Genomic DNA, 13,259 nt, shown 5'->3' with positions numbered 1-13,259 from the left:
GTGATCACCTGACATTTAACGTATATTAATAGCACTTGGTACTCAATTTCTCCTTCTGCTTTCATGTAGTCTGCCACGAAATGTATCAGCCATCGATGCCATTCTTTCTAAGTTACCTCAAAATTAACTGTCTGAGTTTTATCATACTTACGTTTTCATATGTTCTGCAGTTATTAAAGCTCTTTGTTAATTGCTTTTCTTTTCTCTCTAGTTTCCAATCATATGTATAGTGACCATAGTTGCCTCATCAAAAATCAGAACATTTGATGTAACAAATGATTTTTTTCTTATTTATGAACACTATTGTAAGATAGCACAAGAAACACACATTTAGCATTTAATGAAATGTTTTTTTGAAACGTACAAATTTGTTTACACTATTTCTGATTTTGCCTGCCGTATTTCTTAATTTTTTTCTAAACCTCTTTACTCTTGTTCTAAACTTTTCCTAAAATTGGTTTCAAGTCTCAGGATCACTTCAACTCACAGAAGTTTTTTTATCTAGAAATGAGCACATTATCACCATGGTAAAAGTATTATCTATGTTAATAAATTATCTTACAGTGTTAAAATCAGAAATTATATTTAAGCTCCTCAAAAAAGGTCTATGACTAATTACCTAGTATATGCATTTGCATACACTTTTACAGAGAGCCATGAACTTTCTGCATATGTTCATTCTGTCATACCTATGAATGAATCTAGTTCCAAACATCAGGATCTGTAAATAGGGGTGTGAATAAGGACGAATCGATAGGCTCTAATTTATGGCATATTCCTCGTTGTAGAGTTCTCTGTTTCTTAAGCCAGTTCTGGTGGCAATATATGCCAGTTTTATCTGAGAGCAACCTCAGCCTTAGAGATCCCCAGCTGAAAATGTAGTTTTTGGAGGAAAAGACATAAAAGGCATAAAATTAGAGTGGAGGAATTTCTGGATTCTGTGCAGCTTAGGGTCAGTTTCTATTAAAAAGGAAGAAGATGCTAAGGTTTTTTCACTTTAAACACCAATAACATTTAATGCTTTTCACTAGGTTTCGGAAAAGTAAATGTTTACATCCAGGAATTCTTACATTTTTTTCAAAAATATTTGTTAAACATTTGCTAGCCAACACTCAGCTAAGTGCTAGGTATACATTATTGGATTAAACAGACATGGTTCCTGCCCTTGTTAGGTTTACCAGGAATTAGCCATTATCTCTCTTTTTACCTCTATTTATGCTTCACAAATTATTTGTATGTTTGATTCTCATATTAACAGTAGTAAAGTGTCTGCCTTGTCTTCTGATTTTTTAAATGTGTGAGCAATACCATTTTTTAATGTCTTTACTAACTGTAAATAAGAAAGTGATTGCCACTTTCTTTAATGTGACTCTTCACAGTATCTCCTGTGCCTTCAGTGTCAATGGTTGTGACAAAAGCTTGTACAGTTTTGCTTTTTGTAGATTTTATGCCATTGTCTATTTTCACCATATGCTTTCAGTGTCAAAGCAGCAGAGAGTTGTACTGAAGATGCTTTGTTGTGTTTTTTTACCACGTAAAAAGATTTTTTCCAACCATAGCGTAACAGGATGTTGAATGACAGAGGTAATGTTTTTTTTTCTGCCATAAAGGCATAATTTCCACAGCCGGAATTATGCACATCTGTATGTTGGGAAAAGAGAGTTTTTACCATCTCCATGTTGAAAGTCCATGTGGCATGAGGAAATCTTTTCCCTTGTTTTTATTTTTGTTGTCGTTGATGTTGTTACTGTCTTTTTTTTTTTGAAAAATTCATATTTTCACTCAAGTAAGAAATATTTGCAATTGAAAAGTACTCCAGTTAAACATCGATGGATAGAGCTTGCTTAGTTGTTTATCATTAGCGAAATTTTTCATCTGAATGTTTACTCACCACACTATGGAAAACATGGTCTTCCAATTGTTTTTGATTCTTCATTGTTTTTAATTCACCGAAGTGTAATGTTTCTATCTCTAAGGAGTAGTAGACTTATGGTTTTTGTGAGGTATGTGTACGTCAGTTATTGAAAATTGTGCCGTGTGTGCGCTCTCATGGTGTTTTGAAGTCATGACTTTTATTTTACCTCCTTTAAATGATAACATAATAATTCTTTTTTTAATAATTAAACTAATTTAGTAAATTCAAGATGGAGGCGCTTTCCTACTGATTATGCTTCCACCTCAGAAGATGAATTTGGATCAAACCGTAATTCCCCTAAACATACCCGTCTACGTACTTCTCCAGCCCTGAAAACCACTCGCTTGCAGAGCGCTGGATCAGCAATGCCTACTAGTTCTTCATTCAAACACCGGATTAAAGAGCAGGAAGACTACATCCGAGATTGGACTGCTCATCGAGAAGAGATAGCCAGGTTGGTTTTCAGGACTTATCTTTAAGAATTCAAAATTTCTATGAACATTACAACTTGGTAACAAAGTTTAGCTTGTACTTGATTTTTACTAATAGTCTAAGAACTGAAATCCACAGATAACTGTGAACTCCGTTTAGTCAGTAGTATTACTCTCTATCCAGCTTTTTTTCTTTTTTTTCTATGCCTATACCACTAACATATTGTAGAATTAATTTATTTTGACCTTTTCTGTCTCCCCCCCTCCCTTTTTAAGAATTTCTTTTAAAGATGGTGATAAGTAAGTGAAACTTTGAAAGGTAGGCAGTATCAGATCTACATAATTAAGAACTGCAGGCAATTTATGGATTACTTTCCTTTAAACTTCCAAAGATGTAATAGTATACCTTTTAGAGATGTGGCTACTGCTCTCTGGAGAGAATTAGGGTAAGCAGATTTTCACTCATACTTTATGAGCTCATTAAGTATGGGCAGTTCAACCGTTTAGTAAGTAAAACAAAATATGACTATTTTGAAGATTAAATCTGTTTATAGTAACCTTTAGATTATGTACAAAAAAAATTTATGCTGCAGATATGATTTTTAATTAATAACTTATGGAAATTAATAACTTACTATGGCTGAACTTTGAAGAGAGATTATACTCAAGCAGATACTATAGTAGTTAAAATATAAGGATTTTTTGTTTAAAGTTTGTGAGATGTTAGATTTTACTGCAGTATACCATATGTTACCTAAACATTTTCACTGTATACATACTAAGCTTACTTCTGTCTTTAAGACCTTAATCTTCAAGTTGTATACTTGAGGACATTATTAAAGAGTTTATACATAATATTTCATAGATGCTTTTAAAAAACAAGAAACTTTTACTCTATGTTAATGTTCATCTTTTTTGTTCTTTATTTCATTGACTTCTGTGAATTGTGTTTTTTCTGGCTCATTGGTTTGATGTAATGTTTAGTTTTTTATTTTTAAAGACTATTCACTTGTCATCGCTTTTATTCTTGGAGAGAACATGCCTTTCTAATCTCATCGTGCTGCTTAAAACATTTTTGCTTTATCATACAAATAGCTTTTTAGGAGAGTAATTAATGAAGCATTTTAAGCCAGTTGTTCTAGTTAGAGGAAAGGCATATATGTACTTTGGGATCCATGGATCATTATGGGCCAACAAAATGCTTGTAGTGAGAGCATCTTGACACATTTTTTTGTACTTCCAGGCGCTGCTAGCAACAACAGGTCTTACTCTTGTCTCATCATTTTTCCCCTTCCCTTGAAAAAGATGTCCAGCTACACAAGATCCAGTGGTGCCTGTATGTCTAGATGCCTCCTGGCAGGAGGCCTCCTCTCTCAAGCTCCCTCTACCCCAAACTAGAAAGACTAAAAACCTTCTTCTGAGCCAAATACACTTCCCTACCCCCAAATAAAAAAACAGTTGTAATACAAAGAGAAGAGGGAATAAGGGCTATACACTGTATTTTCACTTGGTTCCATTTTGCTATGTGCATAGTGTTACTATTATCAATGTGTACTTTTTATTATCTATGGCAGGACTTTAAGAACAGGCTATTTAACCTACAGTGATGTTCATGCCTTATCCCTCTAGTTTGTCAGTAGCACTATGCTAATAAAACTTGCCTTTGGGATTTTAATTTTTCAAGTTATACTTTCTAGCTATATATCTCAAAGCCAGAGAAGTGGTTTTTTTGTTTGTTTTATGTGGAGAAAAAAGGAGGGTGGTGGAAGGAAGGAAAGATACAAAATATGGAAGGAAATGTGGATATTTAATGTTTCTATAGAGCAGTGATAAGTTTGCTTAGGGTGAGAAAATGTATTTTCAAATGGCTATGAATCACAAACTAAGTAGAATATGAGAAATAATTTTATTTATTTAAATGAACTACTGTCACCTAAAAGACTCCTGTGCTGAGAGCAATATTTGAAGAGTAATAGATAAAGACACTTTTATTTGAAAAAGATAATAGTGATTTTTAATTTATTACAAAAATGTTTTATGCTTTAGCATACTCTTTCTGTTTAGAATTTAGGACTATTTCACTTGATCAGCACTTTGTTAATCTGTACATAGTAACTGTTTACCTGCATTTAAATTTAAAGCACAAAAGCAAGCTCCATTTAGAATATGAAGTGTATAAGCGAGATATGGCATATTTGGTCTTCAGTTTGATGAGGGAAGGTTTCTTTCAGGTATCCCTGATGCATATGCTTTGGTAGCTCCTGCCTCAGTTTCTCTGTTATGAAAACAGATATTGACTTCCATCGAGTAGGAATGTAAGACATGATGCAGGTTTTTATGAATATTAGGGTAAACAGAGCTACAATACCAGCTTTACAGATAACCAAATGAAATACATTCAACCTAAAAATTATACTGGAAGATTATCTACAGTAACACCTCGAAGATAGTACAGGTTTGGTTTCAGACCGCTATAGTAAGGCAAATATCTCAAAGCAAGTCACACAGTTTTTTTTTCCTAGTGCATGTAAAAATTATGTTCACACTATACTGTGTGCAGTAACACTGCTTCTTAAAAAAAGTATATACCTAAACAAGTAAATATTTTATTAGTAAAAAACAGTAGTGATCATCTGAGCCTTCAGTAAGTCATCAGCTTTTTGTTGGCATAGGGTCTTACATCCCTGCTGATGACTGTGGACTTATTCAAGGGCAGTGGTTGCTGAAGGCTGGGATGACTGTGGCGATTTCTTAATTAAAAGAAGACAACAGTGAAGTCTGCCACGTTGATTGACTCTTCCTTTCATGAAAGATTTCCTTGTAGCAATGTGATGCTGTTTGATAGCATTTTACCCAGAGTAGAACTTCTTTCAAAACTGCAGTCAGTCCTCCCAGACCCTGCCGCTGGCTTATCGACTGAGTTTATGTAATATTCTGAATCCTTTGTTGTCATCTCAACAGTGCTCACAACAGCTTCACCAGTAGATTCTATTGCAAGATACCACTTTCTTTTCCCATCCATAAGAAGCAACTTCTCATCTGTTAATGTTTTATCACGAGATTGCAGCAATCCAGTCCCATATTCAGGCTTCACTTCTAACTCTAGTCTTTCTAGTTCTGTTTCTGTTTCCACCATATCTGCAGTGACTTCCTCCACTGAAGTCTTGAACCCTCAAAGTCATCCATGAGGGTTGGAATCAGTTTCTTCCAAACTCCGGTTAATCTTGATATTTTTACCTCCTCCATGAATCACAGAAGTCCTTAATGGCATGTAGAATGGTGAATCCTTTCCAAAAGATTTTCAGTTTACTTTGTCCAGATCTATTAGAGGAATCATTACCTATGACAGCTATGTCTTGCAAAATGTTATTTCTTAAATAAAGGAATACATTTTCTGCTTAGAAGACAAAACGGGCCAGGCACGGTGGTTCACGCCTGTAATCCCAGCACTTTGGGAGGCCGAGGCAGGCAGATCACGAGGTCAGGAGATAGAGACCATCCTGGCTAACACGGTGAAACCCCGTCTCTACTAGAAATAGAAAAAATTAGCTGGGCATGGTGGTACGTGCCTGTAGTCCCAGCTACTCGGGAGGCTGAGGCAGGAGAATTGTTTGAATCCGGGAGGCAGAGGTTGCAGTGAGCCGAGATTGTGCCGCTGCACTCCAGCCTGGGTGACAGAGCGAGACTCTATCTCAAAAAAAAAAAAAAAAAAAAAAAAAAAATGGCTGGGCGCGGTGGCTCACGCCTGGAATCCCAGCACTTTGGGAGGTTGAGGCGGGTGGATCACGAGGTCAGGAGATTGAGACGATCTTGGCTAACATGGTGAAACCCCATCTCTACTAAAAATACAAAAAATTAGCCGGGCGTGGTGGCGGGCGCCTGTAGTCTCAGCTACCCTGGAGGCTGAGGCAAGAGAATGGCGTGAACCCAGGAGGCGGAGCTTGCAGTGACCCGAGATGGCGCCACTGCACTCCAGCCTGGGCGACAGAGCGAGACTCCGTCTCAAAAAAAAAAAAAAAAATCAAAATGGCTCCTTGATCCATGGGCTGCAGAATGGATGTTAGCAGGTATGAAAGCAACATTAATCACCGTGTACATCTCCATCAGAGCTCTTAGGTAACCAGGTACATTGTCCATGAGCAGTAATATTTTGCAAATAATCATTTTTTTCTGAGCAGTATGTCTCTACAGTGGTCTTAAAATATTTAGTAAACCACACTGTAAATATGCCATAATCCAGGCTTTATTGTTCCATTTGTAGAGCACAAGCAGAGTAGATTTAGCATAATTCTTAAGGGCCCTATGACTTTTGGAATGGAAAATGAGCATTGGCTTCCAACATAAAGTCACCAGCTACATTAACCCCTAACAAGAGAGTCAGCCTGTCCTTTGAAGCTTTGAAGCTGGGCATTGCCTTCTCTCTGGCTCTGAAAGTCCTAGATGGCATCTTCTTCCAATAGAAGGCTGTTTTATCAACATTGAAAATCAGTTGTTATTATAACCATCTTAATCAATTATCTTAGCTAGATCTTCTGGATAAGTTGCTACAGCTTCTATATCAGCACTTGCTGCTTCTCTGTGCACTTTCATGTTAGGGGGATGGTTTCGTTCCTTAAGCCTCATGAACCAACCTCTGCAAACTTTTCTTCTGCAGTTTCCTCACCTCTGTCAGCATTCACAGAATTGAAGAGAGTTCAGATTTTGCTCTGGATTAGTTTGGCTTAAGGGAATGTTGTGGCTGGTTTGATCTTCTATCCAGACCACTCAGACCTTGTCCATATCAGCATTAGGCTGTTTTGCTTTCTTATCATTCCTGTGTTCACTAGAGTAGCACTTTTAATTTACTTCAAGAACTTTTCCTTTGCATTCACAACTTGGCTGTATGGCACAAGAGGCCTAGCTTTTGATGATTGCCAGAATAGTAAGACAGAATTTAAAATGGTTCCATGGTTGATCAGATGGGAGATTAGTGGGAGTAGGGAACACAAAAGGCATGGGAAAAGAAGATAGGTTGTATTTTGGTCATACTGACACCAACATGCCTAAAGGATAGCCCTGTGAAAAAAGCTAGCAGACAGTTGAACTGCGGCTGTGAAACAGGAAGCCGTGAGGGCTAGACTCATCGTTGTAGTCATTCGTAAAGAGTAAATACTTGGAGCTATTGTAGTAGATGGTATCACCACGGAATGGTGAGGGAGCTGCAAATGCGGCTGAACTCTGAGATAACCTCAGTGACAGGGATGTGGTGTAGCTGAATGGTGAAGAATATGGACTCTGGACTCAGACCATATTCTTGGTCTGAGATTCAAACCCAACTCGACCACAAGGTCTGTGTGACCTAGGATGAGTTAATTAAATGTGTTCTAGTGATCTCATCGGTAAAATGGACGTAATGGTGCCAACCTGAGAGAGTCGACAAGTTGATGCACATACTTAACCTAGTGCTTGACATATAGTCAGTAGTCAATAAATGTTATATTTAAGAGGGATACAGAGAAAACCGTGGTTTATGATTATAGTTAGAACTTTATTTGGAGCTTTTAATTTTGTGTAGATCTCACACGTTTAAATTTATGAGAATCCAGATATAATTGGAATTTCAGAATCAGCATTACATTCTACAGTTTATAAAATGCTGGGCTTACCTTATTTGTGCTTAAGAATCCCAGCCAATGCTTTGTTCAAATTTCCGTCCAAACTTATTTATTAAAAAATTTTTTGTCCTCCTAGTAAAAACAGTGGTATATAAGTAGTTTGTTTTTTAATATTAAAGTGATCGTTAAATAGCTGTGTCAGCTGGGCGGGGTGGCTCACGCCTGTAATCCCAGCACTTGGGAGGCCAAGGCAGGCGGATCACCTGAGGTCAGGAGTTGGAGACCAGCCTGGGCAACATGGTGAAACCCCATCTCTACTAAAAATACAAAAATTAGCCGGGTGTGATGGCATGCACCTGTAATCCCAGCTACTCGGGTGGCTGAGGCAGGAGAATCGTTGAAACTTGGGAAGCGGAGGTTGCAGTGAGCCGAGATCACGCCACTGCACTCCAGCCAGGGTGACAGAGCGAGATTCTGTCTAAAAAATAGATGTATCACGGAACACCTATCAGTCTCGTTCCCTGATTTGTTGGCCCCAAATGAAACTCACTTGGCATTGTAAGACAAAAAGCTTTTATTATTACTAAGTCTTTTACACATAATTTTATTAGTGAAATTCAAGTAAAAAGAATACTGATCAAATATATTTGAAAACATTTTAAAATAGAACTGTGGTTTATGTTTTTCAAAGCCTAAAATATGTACAGTTAAAGTTATGAATGAGTGATAATCTTAACAGTAAAAAACCAAATTACTTGTAATTTTACTACATTATTAAAAGCTTTGTGCTTTTATTGTTTTGTTGGTAGGAACCAATTTAATTTAGTTGTCAGAATTCAATGGTGTGGGTTTTCTTATTGTCTGTAAGGTAATATAATGCTTTTCTGTGTATTGCAATTCAGCTAACAAGTCTTCAATTATAATATAATTGAAGGATATACTACATTTTGGGTTGTAATTGGAGGTGAGCTTTGATAATACCAAAATGTTTTTTGTTTTGGAGAAAATATTATGGATATAAAAACTACCCTAATCAAGCAATAAGGCATATCTGCCAAGTCAGTTTGAAGACATCATTTGTGGATTGATAATATCTCAAGTCTAGGCCCTGTTATTTTGTTGGGCTAGGTCAGATCCAAACAGCAAGAGTAGGGAAATAAACCACCTGCCCACAGGTTCAGATGACAGTGATTCTTCAGTTTCTCTGTAGTTTTCCACATTTCCTAGAACTTCATTATTCCTTCCTCATAGTCTGTACCTAAGTCTCTAAAAATACTCTGGCTATCTCAGGTCTTGTTTATTGAGTAAATACTTTGCTGTCAGATGGCGTCAGACCATCTTCTTTTAACCTGCCGATTTTGTCTCTGGTGGAGATAGCATAGGTTTGCTAAAACCTTTAAAGTTATCCTCTTAATTACATCTTTATTTGTGACTGCCTCTGCTTATCTGAAGCATATTCATCAGTCTAGTTTCGAGACTAGAATCTTTCTACATTTTACCAAATGTAACTTATCTGTAGCGATAAACATTTCATTCACAATAATGGGAGGTGCCTTTAAAAAAATTAAATCTCTATCTCTTTTGATGGCTAGAAGTAGACTCCATGTACTTTATTCAAACTGCTTTTCTAATCAGGCCACTCATTAAATTGCTCTTGCTGCCCAAAAGAAACCTCCAATTTCAACTCATTATTATCCCATCCTAAATCTTTTGTGGCTCAGTGTAACTCTTTCCCAGTTCTCCATACTTTTGTTGCATAAAGAATGGGGTTTGCCAAATTTTTTTCATTAAGGTCTTCTATTATTGAATCAAAATGCCACTAACATCTAACAAATTAACTGACAGTTTCCACTGATGGAAGAGAAAGATCTTTCCTTATCATTAGGAAACTTTTTTTTGTGAACCTTCTTTATAGTTGGTATGTAAGTCAAATATATGAGTTAATCAATACATGAATTAAACTTTGAGCCTCTTGCCTGGACTTCTTATTCTTTATTGTACTGTGAGATCATGGAATCATTCATAACTATTGCTTTGTAAATACTAAATAAATTTTTAAAATTATGTTATTTTATTTTGAGACAGAGTCTCACTGTCACCCAGGCTGAAGTGTAGTGGCGCGATCTCAGCTCACTGCAACCTCTGCCTCCCAGGTTCAAGCAATTCTTGTGCCTCAGCGTCCTGAGTAGCTGGGATTACGGGTGTACACCACCATGCCTTGCTAATTTTTTTTGTATTTTTAGTAGAGATGGGGTTTCACCATGTTGGCCAGGCTGGTCTCAAACTCCTGAGCTCAGGTGATCCGCCCACCTCGGCCTCCCAAAGTGCTAGGATTACAGGCATGAGCCACCGCGCCCAGCTGATACTGATACCAAATAAATTTTGTTGAATAAATGATGCCTAGAGTCTTCCCAAATTTGTCTATGTCTCCTTTGTTTTTTGTTGTTGTTGTTTTGTTGGATTTTTTTTGAGACAGAGTCTCACATTCTGTTGCCCAGGCTGGAGTATAGTGGCATGATCTCGGCTCACTGCAACCTCCACCTCCCAAGTTCAAAGGATTCTCCTGCCTCAGCCTCCCGAGTAGCTGGGACTACAGGCGCATGCCACCATGCCTGGCTAATTTTTTGTAAAAGTAGAGACAGGGTTTCACCATGTTGGCCAGACTATTCTTGAACTCCTGACCTCAAGTGATCCACCTGCCTCAGCCTCCCAAAGTGCTGAGATTACAGGCGTGAGCCACTGTGCCCAGCCTCTTTTGTTTTTTAAAAGATACCTAGCTCGTTATCAGTAGGCCCTGAATAGTTTAAATGCTTAAGATTCCAAATTGAAAATTTTTAAGTCAAACTCTAAAAATTTTTACGTAGAAGTTCCTTGTCTTAGCCCCATTTTTACCTAGCTACAGTTAATTTTTTTGGGAAAAAAATTAGGATGTGAGAAATTGTATTTCTGTTTTATCATAATAGCATTATTCACTGTATAAGATACAGTCATCCAGTAATGAAACATTTCAAGGATCCATATATGGAAGTCAGTATTGCTTGTTTATATTCACACCTGCATATGTTGATTTCATTATACAATATTTTACCTCATTTTGAAAGTCATGGTTTAAGATACAGAACTCATGTGAATCACATTTCTAGGAAACCTTAAGTGAATTTCTTAAGATCTGCTTGAGCTGTTTACAGTGGTAACACATCTGTATGAAAGGCATGTCAAGAAGAACTGAAGATGAGATGTGGCTTCACAACAAGCCAAAGGCTGTATTAAAATTATGTGCTGTCTAATAAAAAAGAAAGAAGATATCCAGTTAAGTGGCAGAATAGCATAAATGTGGTTATGTTCATTGCTTTTAACAGCTGAGAAAAATAATCTTGAATAATGGGCCAAAACCAGGAAAAGGCTTCAGGGGAAAATGTAGTTACAAGTATTTACAAGGCATGTACATTTTTTAAAATTATAGCCTTATCACATTAAAGCCACATCTGGGTACTTTTTTATATACTAATAAAAATACTGTATTTTTATTTGTAGGCAGTGTAGTAATAAGAATACTGTCTTTTATTTGGAGATAGCATTTCCAAGTATGTATTTGACTTTGCTAAGCATTCATGCTTCGTAGCCAATGATACTGAGCATTCCATCTGGAGTGCCTCTAGATGGGGGATTCACAATTGGTCTTTACTGGTTAGGGGGGATTCACAATTGGTCTTTACTGGTTAGGGGGGATTCACAATTGGTCTTCACTGGTTAGGGAACATCTAGAACTTTTTGCTCATGCACAAAGTAAAAACCTTACATGTGCTGTTATATAAGTCCCGTTGGTGCCTGCATTCGTGTACTTTTTAACTTGACTTCTTACCGCCTCTGTGTGCTAGTATAGGGTCTCTTACAAGTGTACTTTTTCCTGCATTGTATAAGCAATGAGAATTTTAAATGAAGTGAAGTTAATTTGCTAATATCTCGGGTTTTTTTTTTTTTTTCTTCCCATGCCTTGTAAACCTTGAACCACTATACTTGTTCTATTTGAGGTGCAGGGGAGAGCATGAGTGAGTAATCACTTAGAAGGAAAAATACAAGCTAAACCAAATACTTAATGAAACAAAATTTGTTTTTACCCATGGAAATAAAAAACATTTTTTAGCCACATGCTTATGAATTTTTACTTTATACCTGCCTTTGAAATTTTGGGGCCTGATACAGGATCCTTGACTCTTTAAAAATAATATGGCTCTTCATTATTTGGCTGACTGGCTTTTATACCATTAGAAGGAATTGGGAAGGAGAGGGGTCGCTAATCTCTTCTGCGTTCTTCGCGAATCTCATTCCCGTGACCTCTGTTCAGATTAAAAGTCTCCCTGGTGCATCCTATTATAAATCATACTTTTTTATGAATCGCTGACCATATTTGTCACCATTGGGGAGGCAAATAAACCTAAAACACAGAGCCTGTGTTCCAAACGAGTTCATAATTTATACAAGGATTAAAAGCTAATTCATATCATTCTTACACCTTTACATCCTCACAGCTTAGCTCCCACTTACAAGTGAGAACATGTGGTGTTTGATTTTCCATTCCTGAATTACTTCACTTAGAATAATTGACGTTAGACTTTTTTTTCCTTATATTTTCTTTTTCCAGTTTTCCTGAGTACCTTTCATTTGATATCCCCTCTTTCCTCTTACAAAACTTTTTTTGCTTACTAAACTCTTCTAGATAGTGTGGAAACCATGAGCTTTTCTGGAATGACCCTTAAATGTCTCTCCTTAAACTCATTTTACATTTTAACACTTCTGGTCATTTACAAACTAGACTAAATTATTTCTTGAAAGCTGAGTCATTACAGTTATGATCTCTTAGCCCATGTTAAAGTAACAGGAGGTTTGACTTGCGGTCATAAGCTTTGGTTTTAGGATTCTAAAGCTAGTATACTTCATTAATAGCCCACCAGTTGCTTTTTTCCAGTAATATCAAAGGAAACTTAATTCCAGAGGTTCATGTGTGTATCCTCTGGAAAGTTTTACATGTAAAAACGTTTGAAAATGAATGTGCTATCAAAAAATAGGGCAAATTTTTGGCTGGGCGTAGTGGCTCACGCCTGTAATCCCAGCTCTTTGGGAGACCAAGGCGGGCGGATCACAAGGTCAAGAGATCGAGACCATCCTGGCCAACATGGTGAAACCTCATTGCTACTAAAAATACCAAAATTAGCCGGGCGTGGTGGTGCACGCCTGTAATCCTGGCTACTCGGTAGTCTGAGGCAGGAGAATCACTTGAATCCAGGAGGCAGAGGTTGCAGTGAGCTGAGATTGCACCAC

The 13,259-nt window shown here is 37.1% G+C and overlaps 1 protein-coding gene across 27 annotated transcripts in view; it reads left to right on the top strand.

Annotated features, from left to right (window-relative positions):
- Nucleotides 1–13,259, top strand: part of CEP170 (centrosomal protein 170) — a 131,358-nt gene that overhangs the window by 97,196 nt on the left and 20,903 nt on the right. For 18 of the 27 annotated variants that reach the window (XM_047435483.1, XM_006711843.5, XM_017002951.3 and 15 more), the window contains one exon: nucleotides 2,135–2,369. In XM_047435483.1, coding sequence (XP_047291439.1) covers nucleotides 2,135–2,369 — 235 coding nt within the window. The remainder of the gene's footprint in view (nucleotides 1–2,134; nucleotides 2,370–13,259) is intronic. The other 9 variants (XM_017002949.3, XM_017002947.3, NM_001042405.2 and 6 more) reach the window with 1 other exon arrangement.

This window comes from Homo sapiens, chromosome 1, assembly GCF_000001405.40.
Source record: "Homo sapiens chromosome 1, GRCh38.p14 Primary Assembly".
Lineage (NCBI taxonomy): Eukaryota > Metazoa > Chordata > Mammalia > Primates > Hominidae > Homo > Homo sapiens.
This window is presented reverse-complemented; position numbering and strand designations above follow the sequence as displayed.